We start from the raw sequence: 22,879 nt of genomic DNA, 5'->3' as shown, positions 1-22,879 counted from the left end.
GAGAGATGTAAGAAGGTTCTAACGCAGGCAAAAACTCAGCCCAGTCAAGGAACTTAGTATAGGTCATCAGGGAATTAAAAGACAAGCAGGATGGATGAGGTGTAGTCATTGATGAGAGTGGTCAAGATGCAGTAGGAGGATATGGATAGGTGTCACAGCATAAAAGGCCATATGGACCATGGCAAGGGGCTTAGATTTTACTGTCTGCATGATAAGAAACCACTGAAAGAATTTAAGCAGGAGACAAACATGATTTAATCACTGTGGCTGCTATGTGAGGAATGAATTTATGAGGAGACAATAAACAGGAAGACCAATAGGAATTTATCCCAGTGGTGATAAACTCCACAGGAGAAAAAAAAAAAGATAACTGATTAGCATAGAGTAATAGTGGTGATGATGGAGAGATACAGATGGGTTCCAAAGCTCTTTTGAAGACAGAATTAACAGGAGTTGGTTATTCAATTAGGTGTAAGGATGAGGAAGTCAGCAATGGCAGGAATGACCCCCCCAACCCAGGTATCAGATTTGAACCATGCAAGGGTTGAAGGGACACCTGCAGGTCTTCGCTTAGGTAGACCCAAACACATTGTACTTGATTGGGCAAACCAGTAAAAAGCTGGTTTCTCTTAATAGAAATATTCCTAGTTTGAGTTCCTGTCACCTTCAGAAATAGGCCAGAAATAGGCCATAAACTTGAAAAGCAGATTGGGGTAGTACTGGCATTGCCTAGTTCTTTAAGGACTCTTTCCCATTCTTATCATGCTGAAATAATATTAATTTGAGGTTTCTATACAGTTAAATAAGCAGTTGCTCTTTGTCCCCCTTGGTTTAGAACCAATTAAAAAATAAACCCCAGCACCACGACCACCACCTCCCAAAAAAGACAGCTATCCTGGAATAGGTAAGGTTGATTTGAAAACAAGGCCTCAAGATCTGTGGTCAAAGGCTACCTAACATACCCTACCCACTACCTTTCTTGCCTCCCCCATTCTAGCCTTAGCAAAGTCCAGTGGAGGAAAAGTATAGGTTTTAAAATGAGACCAGCCTACCCAGGATTCTTGTACTAGCCCAAGGGGAACAAGGAAGCAGAGAATCCCGCTGCTGAGCATCTTATAATTTTGCTCCATTCAGTTGGGAAAAAAGTACCAATGAAGGTCAGATCCTTGTGACACCACAGAAGGGAGCTTGCTCCTGCTCCAGGGATAGTTGTGAATATGCTGCACTCTGCTTACTGGGAGCAGCAATGAATGAGAACCAAGATTCAAAATAACTCTAACCCTAACCCTAACTCAAGATGGATTAAAGACTTAAATGTAAAACCAAAAACAACAAAAACCCTGGAAGATAACTTATGAAATATCATCTGGACATATGGCCTGGCAAAGATTTCATGATGAAGATCCCAAAAGCAATTGCAATAGCAATGAAAATTGACAAATGGGACCTAATTCAACTACAGAACTTCTGCATAGCAAAATAAAACTATCAACAAAGTAAACAGACAACCTACAGAATGGGAGAAAATATTTGCAAACTATGCATCTGACAAAGGTCTAATATCCAGAGTCTATAAGGAACTTAAGCAAATACAAAAGCAAAAAAAGATACAGTCCCATTAAAAAGTGGGCAAAGGACATGTACAGACACTTCAAAAGAAGACATACATGTGGCCAACAAGCATATGGAAAAATGCTCAACATCACTAATCATTAAAGAAATGCAAACCAAAACCACAATGAGATACCATCTCACACCAGTCAGAATGGCCATTACTAAAAAAGTCAAAAAATAACAGATGCTGGAGAGGTTGTGGAGAAAAGAGAATGCTTATACACTGCTGGTGGGAATGTAAATTGGTTCAGTCATTGTGAAAAGCAGTTTGGCAATTTCTCAAAGAACTCACAGCAAAATTTCCATTCAACCCAGCAATCCCATTACTGGGTATATACCCAAAGGAATACAAATCATTCTATCATAAAGACACAGGCACACAAGACATAGCTTCATCACAGCACTATTCACAATAGCAAAGACATAGAATCAACCTAAATGCCCATCAACAGTAGACTGGATAAAGAAAACATGGTACATATACACCACAGAATACTATGCAGCCATAAACAAGAATGAGAGCTGTCCTTTGCAGCAATGTGGATAGAGCTGGAGGCCATTATCCTAAGTGAACTGACACAGGAACAGAAAAGCAAATACCACATGTTCTCACTCGTAAGTGGGAGCAAACATTAAGTATATATGGACACAATGAAGGGAACAACAGACACCAGAGCCGACTTCAGGGTGTGGGGAAGAAGGAGGGTGATTATCAAAAAACTACCTATCAGGTACTGTGTTTATTACCTGATGGTAAAATAATCTGCACATCAAACCCCCATGGCAGGTAATTTACTTATATAACAAACTTGCACCTGCACATGTACCCCTGAACCAAAAATAAAAGTTAAAAATTAAATTAAACTTTAAAATGACCAGAAATCTCTTCTGGTCCCACCACTCATGTGCTGTGTGATTCTGGGGAATGGCTGAATCCCTGCTAGGGATCACGAATGATCATTAAAAGGAAATGTGATGGAAACTGTAAAAGGTGTGAGTTGTATTCTTCCTAAAGAGTTTACCAGTGCTGCTTCCCACTTTGTGTACCTTGGGAAGTCTGAGGCACTTGAGCATCTTGCTGCCCTTCCCTAGGTCATTCAAACTTCCAGGCACTATTTCAGTTAGATATCTTCAGTCTTTTTCTCAGAAGTGACATCCTTTCTCCAGATGCTATCTGAGTTGGAAGGTCAATATGTAAAACCCACTCACACCGAGATACCTATTGGGAAGCCTGGAGTTCCAAGGACCCTCAGAGAGTATCTTAAGACTCCAAGCAACACAGTCTCTTCCTTTCCAACATTGTAAGATGCTGTGGCTGCTACACAATCACTTCTGGGGAACAAAGTGACTGTGTGCCCAAAGACCTAGACGGTGGTTTTTCCCTTTGACAGGGTATTAGAAGGAACACACCCATTGTTCATCCATGTCAGGTGAAAAAGTCAAAATGCAAACAGGTGGGGGGAGGGGGACCCCCCAAAAGACAAAAAGATGAGGACTATCAAGGATATATTTGATTGATAATAAAAGCTCTAACAGAGCTAAATTTGCTTCATTTCATTCCTTAGTTATATGGATGGTTTCTGTACAACTTTGTGCTATTTTTTTCATATTTACTTGCTTTTTTGACTTCTATGATTAGTAAAATCCATTTTAATCTAAAGTCTTTTGCTATTTCACAGGAATAGTTAGGAAAAAAACCCACATAAACACAAAGAGATATGTAAACAGCATGCAGAGTATGGAGCTTTCTGAAGACTGAGGCTTCTGGCTTCCAGAGTTCTCATTTTCTTCCAATCTTCGTTTAGTCCTGCATTGAATTAGGCTGTAATATTCCATTATATGATAAAGCATCATTTAACAGGAAGTTATACTCTTTTATGTTATATTTGCATTTCATTTCCATGCTGCTTTTTAGAAAATAAGTGATAAGTAGAAGCAGAACAGGTATTTGTAATTACTCATGAGTCATTTGCTCTCACGTAATTTAATAGCCACAGATCTTTAATATGTGCTATTATTTATAGCACATGTTGAAAGGATTTAACATATGTAGTGATCTTCACCAAGTAACTCTATACTCTTCTTGAATACAAAGATGTAAATTTTGTCACCATTTATGCAACCTGCTAAAAATGTTGCTATTAATTCATGTGAATGAGTTTTTCCTCTAAGATTTTAATTAAAACACAAATGCTTTGCACACTTCAATCTGCAATATCCTCCACATGCATTTTTTTAATACTGACTGATCAGTTGGATAACAGGGGATTACTTTGTAAGATGTTTTCTCATACCTGAAAATTTCCACAAAGCAGGAATTTTTGTGTGAAAGCCCATTCAAAAGCTAAATAAGCATCACACTACAAAGCTCTCAGTGGCAACTGTGTTCTCTTTGCATTTCTGTGTACAACAAAATGTGCTCTAATAAGAAAAGAGTAGAACTAGCCAAGCTGCGAGGAAAGAAGGGAGGGGAGGGAAGATTTGAGGACTACTGGCCTCGTCAGCCCAATAATGCAATTGCCCTGGTGATGGTACCCTGCAGACCCCTGTGCTTGCATAGGACAAGTTCAGGGGACACGCGGGATGAGCCTGTGATGGTTGTCACATTCTTGATGACAGTATTCATTATTTTCTCTAAGGTGCACTCTGATCAGAATGCATACACATCTGTAAGTGTCCTTTTGGTGTATGCTTTGGAATGACTATTTTAGGAGAAATTTCCACCTCACCAAAACCTGGTGAGATTAGTGATGATCCCAAAGCATTTAAAACAAATTGAAAGGGTTATTCAGAAAGACCTGGATGGCTCCTATTCATCCAAAGAACACCATATAGTGAGAGAGTCCTTATGGCTCTCCAACAACTGAAAATGTGGAGAAACCAACTACCATTGATATAATTGCCTATAATAGGTGCACCTTTGAGACTGCAAGGCATAATTGGATAATATAATGTCAACAGAGGACTTCCTGTTGCCATATCAAGCAGAAATCTTCATTAAAAATATAAATGTGTAAGAAATATTGGCCAGAAAGGTTCTTGGAAACTTTGTCAGGGTGGAGAAAAATGTGCTGTGGCCAGAGGACTGAATGCCATAAACATCACATTGGCCCTAGATAGGGCAGCATGGTTCTGCTTCCTATTAATGGCCCAAAGGGGGACATTTTCATCAGGATTGGTGCCAATGTCCCATTTTCTTCTTGATTACAAGATGTTGAAAATCCATAGAATTCATTGAGATGCAGTCAAGAAATGGAGCCTGTAATAACATGTGCTAAAAAATTGTATATTCCGTTTTACATTGACTGGTGCAAAAATTCATTTGGTTGATAAAACAAAGCAAGTGGCCACCTATCCAGAAGTGATTCGTGGAGGGGGAATTTTAGTGATGATGGAGAGTACAAACTCTTTTCAAAATGACTGTCTGAAAAGCAGACAAGTACGTGGATTTCTTAATTATACTGGCTGTGTCCTCAGCAGTAGCTACTGGTCCTCTTTCTGGTACTTCCTTACATCATGCACTGTTGACAGAAAGGAGTAGAAAAGAGAAACATGCAAACATCAGACATCCAACTGGTCTGTCACAGTGCTATTCAGAAATTTGCCAAGGAGCTTCAAGACACATCCAAGAGTAGAAAGACAGCATGGCCCCCATCAACACTTCCTGTGTCTCACTTGTAACTGGTGAAATCATACCTTCCCTGTACACAGAGAACCATGATAGCACTAACACGCAAATGCAGCAGAATTTGTGACATCCAATTCAGGTTCCTCAACAACAAAGTACAAGTAAATGTCATCCCTGAAGAAGAGAACTGACCAAAGCATGAATTTATAATCAGACAATATAGCAGTTATATCACATTTCTTTTCACTTCCAATAATGCATAAGCTTTTCTGGTATATGGTGTGTATGTTCATGGTATTAACTGTAGAAGATATTATAATACAATATAACTTACATTTTACTAATGTATTTTTTACTTAAAGCATTATTGACAATTCGGAAAACACTGATGACTTTATATTTGTTACAATTAAAAGTGATCTTTAAAATAAATATTATTAATGAAAAACAGGATGTAGAAATCTATTGAGCTAAACAGGTAATTCTAGCTGAGACAACTAGAATTTGAGAGAAAACCATGTCACAAGTGGGAAAGTCAACATTAATCAAGAACCAGCATCATCAGAAAATGTATTATCACAATCAAAGCCATGTATACGTTTGGATTTCTACAAGAGTTGTTATTCAGTGCAGAATACTTTGCCCATTAACTATAATGATAAAAAGTAACTCCTATTCAACCTTAAATCTAAATTATGCCAGAGCTTTCTAGAATAATACAACTGCTTCAGAATGTTATCGTGAATTTTAAAATTCTACATTCTAATAATTTTTAAAAATCTATTAAAGGTACTTCTTTAAGTGGCTAAACTTTCTTTCCAGAACAATAGCACAAATAGAGTAATACAATATAATAATATCACTATATTCTTCAGAATCTTAAAAACAGCAATGACAAAGCACATCCTTTGTTCTTTTGAAACAGTCTTCACGGGCAACTTTTCAGCTGTGTCATTTTTGCTGTTACAAGTTATTATTATGCTATATATTCTTTCACCAATCAGTTTTCTAATACCAGTAAGAGTTCATCAATAATTATGGGCCATTCCAAAGCAAAAGTAAAGATTTTTCTAGATCTATTTTTCAAAACAGAAGTGTGCATTTTCCTAAAGGGATGAAAGAGAAATGTTTGATTAACTGACACTCCGAAATCATTCCTGAGCAATCTGTTAGAATTTCTTTCCCTTTACAATGTTTTCTATTCTATGCTATCAAGAACTATGAATCATAATTTCTGGCAGCTAAAACCAAAAAGGGTGAGAGGCTCTATTAGCATCCTAAAATATGCATGTCCTAATGCTCTCTTAAAATATGTCTGCTCAGAGAAGTTTCAGATTTTCTCAGCCAAGCAAAATGACATTAACTAAGACCCTGGCATGAAGATTTGCTTATTTTAGTTTGCTTAACATTGTAACCACAGCACAAAAATATTGCTACTCAACGGCAGATAAGTTATTCTCTCACATTTTCGCTTATTTTTTATTAACATCACATGATAAACTATCAAATCACTTATGATCACTAATTACTTTGATAATTCAGCTATAAAGACAATAAACTAAAAGGGTATTAGAATTAGTTCTTCTTGAGATAAGAGCATTCTTTCTGTTTTAAAGGAGTCTGGTTAAAACTATTCAGCTCAAACTAGGAATAATTGAAGACAATTGACAATTTAAATCAAGACAGCATAATCTGTCTACATCAGTTGATGATAAACTTCTGGGAAAAAAGTCAAAAGTGATACTAACTTTTTTTTTATATTCAGCATTCCTCAAGGAAATTTAACTTTATTTGCCTTTTTCCTCTGAAAGTTTACTACAGGATTCCAGGAAGAATTTCCTAAAGGGGAACAATATCCAGCAGTGTATTTAGCTGACTTGCCGTAAAGGATGAGTAGAATGCAGAGAAGGTCAGAGCTAAGTCAAAAGAGGATGTCTTGTTATTCTGACCATACACCTTTGAGGCAAAGGCCTAATACCTTTACAGAAAATAAAATGCAACAAACTTAATATTTTTCTTTGCTAGAGACAGGAGGACAAGGGTCATGTAATTGCTATCTTGTTGCATTGTTTCGCTCATTTTCTCTTTTTTAATAGAAAACAACAAATTAGTCAAAGAAACACTGCCAACTGCTTTATTTCATATGTTAACTAGTATATTTATATACTTCCAAAAATATAGTAGACTTTAAGCAAGATAAAATGGAAATGTTTAATGGATTCACAAGGAAAACCTGAAGAAATTTTTTAGTAGCAAAAGTACACAAAAAAACTAACAAAGAGCACAATAAATTCTGCAAACAACTCTAACTTTTTTTTTTAAATGGTGGAATAGTACTCCATTGTGTCTCATGTACTGGGATTTGACAAATTATTTTTTTCAATTTGGTCAAATCCCCTTTTTATTTTTATTGTTCCACTTAAAATTGTGTAAAATTTTACGTTCATTTGAAGAGTTGCCTACCAATGCTATGATTTCAGCAACTTGATGAAAAAATCAATCTATCATTTGATTTTTAAGACTATTACTTTGTGTGCTTATTTTTGGCTCTATTTCATTTTTTAAATTAATATAAATTAAAATTGACTTTTTGGAGATGTATATTGCTATGAATATTAAGACATGAACAGATTAGTGTAAACACCATCACAATCAGGATACAGAACAGTTCCAACTCTTAAAAAAACTCCCATGCTTCCTCTTTGTAGTCCCCTCCCCTTGACTCCTAATCCCCGATAACTGCAGTTCTGTTCTTGTTATTCTTTTGCTTTTTGAGAATGTCACACAGTTCTGTTGTTATTATTCTTTTGCTTTTTGAGAATGTCATGTAGACGGAATCAAACAATATGTAAACTGTTGAGACTGAATTTTTTAACATGGCATAATACTTATGAGAATTATCCAAATTGTTCTGTTATCAATAATTTATTTCTTTGTGTTACTGAATAATATTTCACTGTATAGTTATACCATGATTTGTTTTTCCATTCACTTATTGAAAAACACTGGGTTATTTCCAATTTGGGGCCAATGTAATTAAAGATGCTATAAACATTCACGTACAGGTTTTGTGAAAACACAGGTTTTCACTTTACTAAAAAAAAAAAAAAAAAAAAAAAAAAAAAAAATACCATGAAAGGAATTGCTGGGTCATGTAATAAGGACATGTTTAGCTTTACAATAAACTGCCAAACTGTTTTCAAAATGGCTGTCATATTTGGTATTGCCATCAGTGATGTATGAGTGTTCCAGTTGCTCCACTTCCTTGTCAGCACTTGATATTGTCAATATAGCCATTCTAATTAATGTATATTACTATCTTTCACTATTAAGTATTATATTAGCTTGTAGATGTCCTTTATCAGGCTGAAGAACTTTCCTTCAATTCCTAATTTGCTGAGAGTTTTCATTATGTATGAATATTAAATATTTTTAAATACTTTTTTGTATTGATATTATATAATTTTTCTTCTTTAGACTATCAGTTATATTTTATTGATTGATTGTCAAATACTAAGCCAACCTTTCACTCATTAGATGAATACTACTTGGTCACATTATACTATTCTTTTATACATTGCCAGATTCGATTTGCTAGTATTTTGATGATTCTGCATTTATGTTCATGAGTGATATTGATCTGAAGTTCTGGGGTATTTTCTTCTTGTCACAGTAATGCTCATCTCATAAAATGATGTATGAAATGTTCTCTCCTTTTCAACAGATGGTGTAGACTTGAGTTTATTTCTTCTTTACATGTATGGTAAATTTTAGCACTAAGGTCATCTAGTCCCGGAAATTTCTTTTTCACAAGATTTCAATAATGGGTTAGGAAGTTTAATCATTACTAAACTATTAAGGTTATCTATTTCACCCTAAAAGAGTTTTTAGAGGTTTTTGGTTTTGGAATAATCGTTCATTTCACCTAACCTACTGAATTATGTATTATACATAGATTTATTCATAATATCCATTTTATCCTTTTTATATCTACAGAGAATGGGGTGATACCCATTTTTTATCCTTGATATTGATCACTGTATCTGCCCTCTTTTTCTGCCAAAGGTATATTAGTTTTACTTATCATTTTGATAATTTTGCCTTTTGGTTTTATTGATTTTTCTGTTTTCTGTTTTCAGTTTCATTGATTTGTGCTCTTATATTTATTGCTTTTTATTTCTATTTGGTCCAGTCTACTTTGTACTTTTTCTATTTTCTTAAGATGGAAACTCATGTTGTTGATTTGAAACCTTTGTTTTCCAATATAAGCATTTAATGCTATAAATCTTCCTCTGAGCATTGCATTAAGTGCATCCCACACATTTCAACATGATATATTTATTTTCCTTGAGTTCAAAATATTTACAAATTTCTCTTGAGACTTTCTCTTCAACAAAAAGATTTTATGGGCATGTAGTGTTTAATTTCCAAGTGTTGAGATTTTCTTGTTATTTTTATGTTATTAATTTTCTAATTTAATTCCATTGTTTTCAGAGAACATACTTTGTGTGATTTCAATTAGTTCAAATTTGTTAAAGTTTGTTTTATGACTCGGGATATGCCTATCTTTGTGAATTTTGTATGTTATACTTGAAGAGAAACTGTGCTCTTCTGTTGTTTGGGGGAGTGCTCTGTTTATTTCAATTAGATCCAGTTAATTCATGATAAAAATCCTTGCTGATTCTATTAGTGTTGCTGATTCTATCACTACTTCTGATTCTAAGAAAGGAGTGTTGGAGACTCCACTACAAGTGTGGATCTGTCTATCTCTCTTTCAGTTCTGTCAATTTTACTTTATCTTTTGAAGTGCTGTTGTTTGCCGACACATTTTAAGATGGTTGTGTCTTCTATGTTGATTTACCCCTCTATAATCATGCACTGTGCCTCTTTATTCTAGATAATTTTCTTTGCCCTGAAGTCTACTTTTTGTGACATTAACATAGTAACTCCTGGTTTCTTTCTTTTGATTAGTGTTTGCATAGTGTATCTGTTTTTACCCTCTTATTTTTCTCATACCAATATTATTATATTTGACATGAGTTTTTCATATGCAACACATATTTGTGTCATTTTTAATTAATTCTGAAAATCTGTCTTTTAATTGATATGAGAGCTTTTACATTTATTATTGATATATTTAGGTTTAGGTTCTACCATTATATTATTTGCTTTCTGTTTTCTTCCCTCTGTTTTTTTAATTCTCAGTTGTCCTTTTTCTGTTTTCTTAATTATTATTTGATTTTTTAGTATTTCACTGAAATTGATTTTTTGAACTATTACTCTTTGTATGTTTTGCTTGTTTGGTGTTTAGTGGTTGCTCTAGGCATTATAATACATATTTAACTTTTAACTGCTTAGACTCAATATTTTACCACTTGGCCTCCATGATTTTGGGTGAGAAAACTGCAGTTATTTGAATATCCTATTAAAAACGTATTTTTTTCTGGTTGTTTTTAAGGTTTTTTTCTTTGTTGTTAGTGTTTGTAATTTGATTATGACATTTCTGAGTTGGGATTTAAGTGTTTATCCTTTTAGGGCCTACCAAACTTCTTGAATTTGTAGGTTTATATCTTTCATCATATTTGAGAAATTTTCAGCTATTATTTCTTCATTTTTTTTTTTCTGTACTACACTCTTATTGTGACCTTCTGGGACTCCCATGCCATGAAAATTAGACCTGTTGGTATAGCCCAAGAAGTTTCTAAAGCTGTTTATTTTGTCTCTTTTTTCTCTGTTCTTTGGATTAACTTCCATTAATTTATCCTCAGATTCATTGACTCTTTTCTCTTTCATCTCCAATATACTACTGCGTCCATCCAGTAGTAAAGGTTGTGTTTGTTTGCTTAGAGTTTTTCTTTTTGTTTGCTTATTTTTGGAGAGTGTAGAAGTTATATTTTTAGTTATAGAATTTCCACTTAATACTTCTTTATATCTTTTAATTATTTGCTTAGATTTTCTTTACATTTGTTTCAAGAGTGTGCATACTTCGAACATTTTTACAATAACTGCTTAAATCTTTGTCAGATAATTCCAACAGTTCAATATCGGAGTTTATTTTTTGTCTTTACCAATATGAGTTGAGGTTTTCCTTGGTTCTTGCTTGTCAATTAACTACGTATTGTCTTCTGGATGCTTTGAATACTTTCTTATGAGACAATGAGTCCTGTTTAAACCCTATAGAAAATGTTGATATTTTGCTTTAGCAATCAGCCCAGTTGGATTCCGTTCCCGCATCCTGACCAGCCTTCTGTGGTTGTGGTTTCGATGTACATTTCAGTATTCAATGCCTTTACAGTGCTATTCACATCTGCCTTGTGTGTTTGTCACCCAGTGGGTAGTCCAGGAAGTGGGCTGAAGCCCATCTCAAAGTTTCATTCTCAAAATACATGGTATATGTTTAGGATTAGATCCACGCACTTGCAGCTCAAGGGTGAATCCAGGAGTTTATAAACAATTTTATGGAATTGGTTTCTCAAGTTCCTATGCCTCCATTATCTCCCTTTCTGGTTTCCTTTTCAGTTCCCCAGAAAGCATGGTCTTTAGCTATGCTATCCTGACACACACTTCCCATGAATGCATATGCATCCAGGACCAAGCAAAAGGAGTACATAGAAAGAAAAAAAAAAACCATTAGATGTCCTTATTTCTCAAAGTTTAAAGCACATTATAGGTTCCTGCTGCCACAACTGTTGCTACCAGAAGTTCTGTATACTACTGCTCATTATCGGGGGAAACCAGCCCCCAGTATTCAACGTGGGTCCTTTTCTATTTTCCCTAAGTGTCGGCCAGTCTGAGAAATAAAGGGAAAGAGTAAAAAAGAGAAATTTTAAAGCTGGGTGTCCAGGGGAGACGTCACGTGTAGGCAGGTTCCGTGATACCCCCCAAGCTGCAAAACCGGCAAGTTTTTAATTAGGGATTTTCAAAAGGGGAATGTACGAATAGGGTGTGGGTCACAGAGATCACATGCTTCACACAGTAATAAAATATCACAAGGCAAATGGAAGCAGGGCGAGATCACAGGAAGAGGACGAAATTAAAATTGCTAATGATCTTCAGGCACGCATTGTCATTGATAACGTCTTATCAGGAGACAGGGTTTGAGAGCAGACAACCGGTCTGACCAAAATTTATCAGGCAGGAATTTCCTCATCCTAATAAGCCTGGGAGCCCTACGGGAGACCAGGGTTTGTTTCATCCCTTATCGACAACCATAAATGGCCCTAAGCGGCCATTATAGAGACCTCCCCTTGGGAATGCATACTCCTTCTCAGTGACGTTCCTTGCTGAGAAAAAGAATTCAGCGATATTTCTCCTATTTGCTTTTGAAAGAAAAGAAATACGGCTCTGTTCCGCCCGACCCACCGGCAGCCAGACTTTAAGCTTATCTCCCTTGTTCCCTGAACATCACTGTTATCCTGTTCTTTTTTCAAGGTGTCCAGATTTCATATTGTTTAAACAATTTGTGCAGTTAACGCAATCATCACAGGGTCCTGAGGCGACATTCATCTTCAGCTTACGAAGATGACAGGATTAAGAGATTAAAGTAAAGACAGGCATAGGAAATCACAAGAGTATTGATTGGGGAAGTAATAAGTGTCCATGAAATCTTCACAATTTATGTTCAGAGACTGCAGTAAAGACAGGCATAAGAAATTATAAAAGTATTAATTTGGGGAACTAATAAATGTCCATGAAATCTTCACAATTTATGTTCTTCTGCCATGGCTTCAGCCAGTCCCTCCGTTCAGGGTCCCTGACTTCCTGCAACAGCTCATGGAACAAGAACTAAAAGGCTTTTCTCCAAGTTGTCTCTCTGTGTTGATGCTTACTTCCATATTTTGCACTACTTGAACCCAGGCTGGGGTAGACACCAGAAAATGGTAAATGCGCTATCCATTCAGTGATACTTCAAATTCTACTCAAGAGTCCTCAAATAACTGTTCCATCATTCTGATTAGGTTTTATAGATGCATTCAGTGAGAATGACAGATTGGAGTGTACTTACCCCATTTTACCCAGAACTGGAATCTTTGAGTGGGTTTTTTTTAAATTAAGCTTATAAATAGCACTGTTACTTTATAATTAGTCTACATAAAAAGCTTGTCTGGATAAGTGTTAAAAACAGATTAATAAAGAAAAGAAGAAAAGAGAAAGGAAGAAAGGGATGGAGTGAAGGAGAGAAAGAAGGAAAGAGAGAAAGGAAAGAAGAAAAAAAGGAAGAAGAGAAAAGAAAGGAAGAAGGAGAGGAGAGAGGTGAAAGAGAAATAAAGAAAGAGTACTAAAAAATAAGAAGGGGCTGGGTGCTTTGTCTCAGGCCTGTAGTCCCAGCACTCTGGGAGGCTGAAGCAGATGGATCACTTGAACCCAGGAGTTTGAGACCAGCCTGGGCAACATGGCAAAACCCCATCTCTACAAAAAATACAAAAATTAGCTGGGCATGGTGGCTTCTGCCTATAGTCCCAGCCACTCAGGAGGCTGAGGTGGGAGGATTGCTTGAGCCCAGGAGGTGGAGGCTGCAGTAAGCTGTGTTCACACAACTGCATGCCAGGTGGGTGGCAAAGTGACACTCTGCCTCTAAAAATGAAAAGAAAAGAAGGAAGACAGAAAAGGAAGGAATCAAGAAAGAAAGAGAAGAAAGAGAGAGAAGGAAAGAGGTGAAAAAGAAAAACGAAAGAGTGAAAAAAACAAGAAAGATAACGAAACTGGAAAGGAAGGAAGGGAGGTAGGAAAAAAGGAAGAAAGGATCCAAGAGGGAGAGAAGAAGAGAGAAATAATAGAAAATCAGACATTAATATCAAACACCTGACTGAAGGGAGATAAAGTTGAAACAGGAAAGGTTCCATTGTCCCCCTCACAGGGTGTGTGATGGCAGTGTGGCTCACTTCCTCCATGCCCCCCTGCTCAAACCTCTAAGGAAGCATACAGACAGGCAGGCTGTGGGGCTCCAACTCCATGTCAGTGTCTAGGGGTGAATGTTTACAGCTTCTGAAGCCCTAGTGGGCATGAGTTACAGAGTGCGCTGTTAGTTTGCCATCTATAAGCAGCTTGTGATAACCAGCTAAATTAGGTTCTCTACCGTGCCGCAAGGACAGAGGGCTTTCTGTATCTTGGGTGCTTGCCTTGGTGTACTGGAAGAATCAGACCACATGTGGGCTTTGGGAATGAGTGCAAAGTTTTATTGAGTGGAAAGTAGCTCTCTGCTGATGGGGGAGCCAGAAGTGAGATGGTTTTCCCCTGGAGTTGGGCTACTTGGAGGCCCCGGCTCTCCTCCAACTGCCCCACCAAAGTCTGCCTCATCCCAACCGACAGCCTGCCAGCATGCCAGTGTCTGTTGGTGCCTGTCAGCGTGCTCTTCCTCCCACAAGCTCTGGATGACCAGCCACTTGTGTCTTCTTCCACTGATGTGTTCCTCACGACGTCCAGTCACTTGTGTGTGTGTGCCTGCTAGGGTCTCGGGTTTTTATAGGCAGAGAGGGTGAGGGTGTGGTGGGCCAGGGTGGTCTTGGAAAATGCAACATTTGGGAACAAAGGCAGAAGCGCCTGTCCTCACCTAGGTCCATGGGTATGGAGCCCTAGCCAGAAACTATGCCTTCCTCTACCCAGCACTTCCCTCCCCTCCTTCCACATCATTTAAAGGAACCACGCTATTCCCCTCTCAGCACTCTCGTATCAAAGTCACCTTCTTTAAATTTGACAAATTGTTTCCTTTGTCTGGGAAAAAGACCATTGTGAGCAAGCCAAAATGTAGAAGTCATTTCCTCTTCACATAACTTTTGCCACCAAGTGGAGAAGAAAAGGTACTCCTAAGTTCACATGTAGAAGTCACAATCTTCACCATAGTTTCTGCCACCAAGTAGGGCAGAAATATAACTTTTGTTTTTAAAAAATAAAAAGGCTAAAATTTAATGAAATGTTTGTGCTGAAAACCCTGAGGTTTGGGGTGGGAAAATCCTTCCTTGAAAAAGTTTTCGAGAAGTAAATTTCAAATGCAAATCAAAACTACAGTGAGATATCATCTCACCCCAGTTAAAATGGTTTTTATCCAACAGATAGGCAATAACAAATGCTGGTGAGGATGTGGAGAAAAGGGAACCCTTGTCCACTGTTGGTGGAAATGTAAATTAGCACAAACACTATGGAGGATAGTTTGGAGGTTTCTCAAAAAACTAAAAATAGAACCACTATACAATCCAGTAATCCCAGTGCTAGGTATATACCCAAATAAATCAGTATATCAAAGACATATTTGCACTCCCATGTCTACTGCAGCACTATTCACAATAGCCAAGATTTGTAAACAACCTAAGTGTCCATCAACAAACAGATAAAGAAAATGTGGTACATATACACAATGGAGTACTATTCCGCCATAAAAAAGAACAACACCCTGTTATTTGCAACAACATGAATGGAACTAGAGGCCATTATGTTAAGTGAAATAAGCCAGGCACAGAAAGACAAGCTTCACATGTTCTCACTTATTTGTGGGAGCTAAAAATGAAAACAATTGAACTCACAGACATAAGAGAGTAGAAGGATGGTTACCAGAGGCTGGGAAGGGTAGTGAGGGCAGGGAGTAGGGATGGTTAATGCATACAAAAACATAGAAAGAAAGAATGAGATCTAGTATTTGATAGTACAACAGGGTGACTATAGTCAATGATAATTTAATTGTACATTTTAAAATAAGTAAAAGAGTATAATTGGATTGTTTGTAACAAAAAGGATAAATGCTTGAAGTAATGGGTACCCCATTTACCCTGATGTGATTATTTTGATATTTTGATGTGACTATTTTGATACCTCAATCCCATAAATATATAGAGCTGCTATGTGCCCACAAAGACTAAAAGAAAGAAATTATCAGGGGTTACTAAATTGAATAACAAAGCAAAACATAACCTTGGGGCAAGGGTGCGGCTTGCATTTATTAAATGTCACCCTAGATTTTTGTGTTCAATTCCAATAGGCTGAGAGCAGAGGAGTTTTAACTTTAAGAAAAGTTTTGCTGGGCTCACGCCTGTAATCCCAGCACTTTGGGAGGCTGAGGCAGGCAGATCACGAGGTCAGGAGATTGAGACCATCCTGGCTAACACGGTGAAACCCCATCTCTACTAAAAATACAAAAAATTAGCCGGGTGCGGTGGCAGGCGCCTCTAGTCTCAGCTACTCGGGAGGCTGAGGCAGGAGAATGGTGTGAACCCAGGAGGTGGAGCTTGCAGTGAGCCGAGATCACACCACTGCACTCCAGCCTGGGCGACAGAGCAAGACTCTGTCTCAAAAAAATAAAAAAGAAAAAGAAAAAAAATGTTTTGACCTAAATATGAATGAGAAGCTATCAAATGTATCTAGATGTTTATATATCTACATCTCATAATTTTATATAAAGGAAATAATGATTAGAAATACCTATTCATTAGGAATTAATCTTAGAAGCATATTTAAGTGGTAAACCAACTAAAGCCCCATTCACGTCTATGGGACTATTTTCAATAAATGACTCGATTTGCAAATTTGAAAGTTATCCCATGTTTGTGCACATGGTTTCTCTTTCATTATCTCTTTCTTAAAATGGGCAAGCTAGAATCAAGTCCATAGTACTCCCGTTAGATACTAAGGATAAAGTAAAACTTTTATTTTGTATACCATCTCTAGATGTTGTGGGGAGGAGGGCTTTCAAGAAACAGTATTAAGAGACAGTATACATACATCTTGTCTTGGCCAAGCCACCTCTCATCTCCACAAAATCCCCGTGGAAAATAAGTATAAATAAAAATGTCAGAGCAAGGCAAATTAACCATCATTATTAACTTGGACTTTGGTCGCAATACCTAAGCAGAACCAGAACTGTAGTTGACTGGACCAGTAAAAAAAACTCCTTTGTCCTAGTTAAAAGCAAAATAGAGGCATAAACAAAGCATACTGAGTGACCTACAATTTTTTCTAAACCCATACTAACATCTCAGATTTTACCCCTGAGTACACCAGCTGGTTCAGAGCCCCGCTTTCTTTTCTGAAAGCAAAAGTAAGAGTATTTGTCCCAAGATTTAGCCACCCACCTAAATATTCCTAGGCCAAGACAAAATCCAGGGAGCTGTCTGTTTTGTGGCAGAAAAGAAGGTTTCCAACTGCAAAAACAGCTGCAAAATGGGAGAAGTAAAATGACAGATATTTGCCCAGGGATGGCCTTAGGGTTCTGTCTTAGAATCGGTTTTGACTTCTTGAAACTGACTAATCTTTTGGGAGAAGTAAGGATTGATTTTAAAAAATATAAAATCAATAAAAAATTAAAAAAGCAAAAAAGAGGACACCCTTCCCCTAGTGGACCACACTATTTTCTATGAATCAGAGCAGCCCTTTTTTTAAGCTTTTTTTTTTTTTTTTTTTTCCCCCGAGACAGAGTCTTGCTCTATCACCCAGGTTTGAGTGCAGTGGCGCGATCTTGGCTCACTACAAGCTCTACCTCCTGGGTTCACGCCATTCTCCTGCCTCAGCCTCCCGAGTAGCTGGGACTACAAGCACCCGCCACCACGCCCAGCTAATTTTTTTGTATTTTTTAGTAGAGACGGGGTTTCACCATGTTAGCCAGGATGGTCTCGATCTCCTGACCTCATGATCTGCCCACCTCAGCCTCCCAAAGGGCTGGGATTACAGGCATGAGCTACCGCGTGCGGCCTTTTTAAGCTTTTTATAGCACAGACAGCTTACACTCATCTTTCAGAGAAGTGGCAATAGAGCAATTCTCAATTCCTATCCTTAATTATAAGTGAATGCTCAAATTTCATCTTTCAAGGTAGAGATTTTGTAGTTTTAAATGATATGTACACCCTTGTATTTGTGGGCAGTGAAATTAATCGGTCACTTTTCTGCCAACTTAAACAGCCAAGCAAGGCCTCTCACCCATTTCCTTTACAGCTTTGCATTTTGCCACTGTGTGGTCCTACTGCTCCTATAACAAACTGCTACACCCTTAATGGCTTCACGTAATGCCAATTTGTCATCTTAAAGTTCTGGAGGTCAGAAGTCCAAAATCAGCCTCACTGGGCTAAAATCAAAATGTCATCAGGGCTGGTTGGTTCCTTCTGGAAGCTCCAGGGGGAACCCCATTTCCTTTCTTTTTCTCACTTCTAGAGGCTGCCTGCACTCCTTGATTCATGGGCCGTACCTCCATCTTCAAAGTACATCACCCTAATTTCTGCTTCCACAGACTCATCTTTTCTGCCCTTCTGCCTTCTTTCTACAAGAAACCTCGTGATTACATTGGGTCCACCAGATATTCCAAGATAATATCCCTGTCTCAAGATTTTTAACTCAATCATCCTTCCTTTGCATATAATGTAACATATTCACAGGTTCCAATAATTAGGATGTGAACATCTTTGGTGGGGGCATTAGTCAGCCTGCTACAGTTTAAAAGTTTCCTATCGGCTGGGTGTGGTGGCTCACAACTGTAATCCCAGCACTTTGGGAGTCTGAGGCAGGCAGATCACGAGATCAGGAGATTGAGACCATCCTGGCTAACACAGTGAAACCCCATCTCTACTAAAAATACAAAAAATTAGCCGGGCGTGCTGGCAGGCACCTGTAGTCCCAGCTACTTGGGAGGCTGAGGCAGGAGAATGGCGTGAAGCCAGGAGGCGGAGCTTGCAGTGAGCCGAGATCACACCACTGCACTCCAGCCTGGGTGACAGAGCAAGACTCTGTCTCAAATAAAATAAAATAAAATAAAAAAGTTCCTATCATCGGCATATTTGGAGAACTTTATTATGTGTACCCTTTACCAGAAAAATTCTGAAAAGTTTAATTAAGATTGATTCTAGTTGTATGCATCAGTTACATTACAAAGAGTAACTGAAGAGAGTTTGACAGGGATTATTTACAAATATATGAGCAAGTTTCCTACAAAGGATAGAGAAACATTTGTAGAGTCATAATAGTCCAAAGCCCTGAGACTAAATTGTTAAAAGAAAGAAGTGGCTACTAGAATTCCAAAAGAACAATTGCTTTAAGAGAAGTTCTCCCTCTACATGACACTGTAGAGAGGAATATATCCATTGTTCACAATCAGCAAGGAAGGAACAGGGGAAGTGAATATTTTCCCAGCCTCTCTCCTCCTGGCCATAAATTGGCTGAATCCAACCAGAAGTCACATAGCAAGAGAGTGAGCCTTATTCATGCAACCCACTGAGTTTAGCCTTCTGGGACACAAAGGCGGGTGAAAAAGGGTGAAGAGCGAGTATGAAGGGACAAATAATATCCTACTGGATAGGTCTTCTTGTTTGACCTTCACCATCCACTATTGTCCTTTGTGCAAATGAAAAACATTTCATTAACATAGGGGACCCACACACAAAGTCCTATCTATTGCCATACTATTAGAGGATTATGTCAATTCAGCCATATGCCCAACAAAAACCTAAAACTTATATAGCAGTAGAGAAAAAGTTGGGGATAAACAAATAATTAATATAAAATATAGCTGCTGGCACTATTCACAATAGCAAAGACATGGAATCAACCCAAATGCCCATCAATGATAGACTGGATAAAGAAAATGTGGTACACATACACATGGAATACTATCCAGCCATAAAAAGGAATGAGATCACATCTTTTGCAGGGACATGGATGGAGCTGGAAGCCATTATCCTCAGCAAACTAATGCAAGAACAGAAAACCAAACACTGCATATTCTCACTTACAAGTGGGAACTGAACAATGAGAAGACATGGACACAGGGAGGGGAACAACACACACTGGGTCCTGTCAGGGTGGGAGGGTTGTGGGGAGAAGGAGAGCACCAGGATAAATAGCTAATGCATGCAGGGCTTAATACCTAAGTGACGGGTTGATAGGTGCAGCAAACCACCAAGGCATACATCTACCCATGTAACACACTTGCACGTCCTGCAAGTGTATCCTGGAACTTAAAATTAAATTAAATTAAATTTTAAAAACTAAAAACTAAAAAATAAATTTTAAAAAATATAGCTGCTGCCAGAGCCTTGTGACAAAGTTGATAATCACGGCTTCCTTCATTTGCCACCATTGTTCCTTCTGCCAGCAACTGGACTACTCCAGAATTTTCCTGATGGAGGACCCAACCCTTAACTCCGACATAATCTGTGTTCTTAGTATTGTTTTCTTTACTGAATTGCCACAATTTCCCATTGAACAGTATTATTGGACATGGAAGGATCATAAAGTATCCCAGTGAATCATCTAAGTTGCAGACATGATGCTCTTTTCCCTCTCTTGTGCAGCAGCAACCTGATTTTCTCTGGGTAACCGGGACCAATCTTCCCTGATACTAAAGTGAACACACTCTTTGCCAAAATGCCAGTGAGAAATCTTTTTCTAACTTAACGAAACCATGACTGTGGTGCCTGGAAGAAGTATTTATTTCATAAGGATTGGGACCTCCAAAGCTACCCAGCTCAAGTTTATGGATCATGAACAAAAATTTTTCAAATGACTTTATTAGGTATGAGAGAGAGAGAGAGAGAGAGAGAGAGAGAGAGAGAAACCATTTCCACTTCTGCTCCTTGGCTCCTGGAAGCACACATTTTGGCTATGAGAAAGACAGCACCACATATTCATGGAAACATTTAAGCACATGCCACATGTTGTAGTATAGCAATCCCACTTCCCAGAGTAAAGAAAATACAGAGGCAGATTCACCATATATCCTTATATCAGCATTGCAGGTTACTTCCTCAAGGGATCTGCTGCCCCACTCTCAATAAGGGACTCTGGATCTGTGAGTTGGATTAGGTCTAGGAATTGAATATGAGGCCGTTAATGCTCACTTTGGCAACTCAAGTCAGATTTCTGCCCACTAAACATAGACTTTTTCCACACATGAGAAGCAACACCTCACTAAACTGCACATCCATTTTCATCTGTAGGGATTCCATGATCAATGAGTCATTGCCACAAGTCCCTGTGGGTCAAACACTCTGATTACCACTCCATCATTGCAGCTTATTAAGATAATTGCACTCATCTTGTTTCTGCTGGTTAAGCAGTGACATGTGGCCTCTACCACTCTGTGATCCCATTATTCCATTGAAATCTAGGACTCCAGTGCCAATGCATTATCTCCTACTATCATCTCAGCATGCAAAGAACAGCCATTGCAAATGCTGTTGTTTTTCCAAACCAATACATTTCTGAATGCTCAGGTGAAGGGAGTTTCTTCTCAGGGACATGTGTAGTGGGTGGCTGAATGAATTATATGTAATAGATGCATCCCAACGTTTATATTTCTCTGATCTTAGGACTTCTTTCACTAAAATATTCCAGGGAGGCTCCAGCATTTATTCATCATTGACTCTAGATGACCATTGAGTCTAGTCTTCTACTCACTATTTTTACATCATTCCCAGATGGTTGACCCAACACATTACATCTAAAACTCAAGTAAATGCAACATATAGATAAATTTATCCCAATACAATCTTATATTTTTCCTCCTTGACTCAATACTTTTTGAAGCTACTTATATGTGCTACATAATCTCCTACTGCTAAAACCTGGCAAGGTCGTGAATTTCTTTGAGTACAGTCTATTTCCTTCCTAACCAGGTATTGTACAGACCCTGTCTGTGCTTTCCTGTGTACCCCATTCTATTATTGAATGACTCTGTGGGTTGGACAAGTCACTCCATGTTTTTGAGGTTCTTCTTTAAAATGAAGATAATAATGTCTACCCATAGGGTTGGTGCAGAGAATAAATAGGCAATGTAAGTAGACAGTTAACAGCACACAGCCTAGGACGAAAGAAACTAGCTTTTTACCCTCTTTAAGGAAAACTTTGAACCATATTCCCAGATACAGTTAAAAAAAATCAACAAAAATTCAACCAGTGTAAATTGCAAAGATTCCTGTTACTTAGGACTAAGAAAATCTAAAATACTGTAAAATGATTTCAGTTTAATTTAGACTATCTCACACATAGTAGGTACTCCAAAGTATTATTTCTGGAATTGGATTCTGATCCAAAGTTTGAAGCTGTATTAACTGTCCTTGGAATTTATTCTCCTTCAAGCATCTATGTCTGAAGAAAAAAAAACCATAGGATTTCCAGATTTACCGGTAAAAGACAAATGCATCATAAATTGATATTTTAATTACTCATGAGTGGGATTGATGCTGAGCCTTGAGTATACTTAACAGGTTTTGTTTTTCATGAAAGCTTTCATTTCCATTGACATTAGCAATCTGCTTATGAATCTTAGCTCCAGTGTGGTAATTATGTCAAACTCCGCTTGGGAGGGTAAAATGTTCAGTGGAGAGCAGTTGCCCTTGTTGAGAAGGAAAAGCACAAAAAGGATAAATGATTACTTATCATATTTATTCTACTTGTAAAATGATAAAGTTATTATACAGGCATAGAAATAAAACTACTCTTAGAAACCTGATTTCCACCTGGTATGAAAGAAGTATATGGAGGAATAATAAAATTCCATAGAAAATTCACTTACTCGCTAGCATACTTGACTCTCTATTGCCTTGGAAGAAAGTGTAAACATACTGCCTCTCCACATGCTTTAATTTATACTAATACTTTCCAATTAAGTTGTTGGGAAACGCCCTTTTAAAAGCTGATGCATTCAGGGCTTGCTTGCCATCTACT

The 22,879-nt window shown here is 37.7% G+C and overlaps 1 long non-coding RNA gene and 1 pseudogene across 1 annotated transcript in view; one reads left to right on the top strand and one right to left on the bottom strand.

Moving 5' to 3' along the window:
* TEX41 (testis expressed 41) overlaps positions 1–22,879 on the bottom strand; it is a 408,763-nt gene that overhangs the window by 316,534 nt on the left and 69,350 nt on the right. The window lies entirely within an intron of this gene.
* Positions 4,092–5,687, top strand: SGCEP1 (SGCE pseudogene 1; annotated as a pseudogene).

Source organism: Homo sapiens, chromosome 2, assembly GCF_000001405.40.
Source record: "Homo sapiens chromosome 2, GRCh38.p14 Primary Assembly".
NCBI lineage: Eukaryota > Metazoa > Chordata > Mammalia > Primates > Hominidae > Homo > Homo sapiens.
This window is presented reverse-complemented; position numbering and strand designations above follow the sequence as displayed.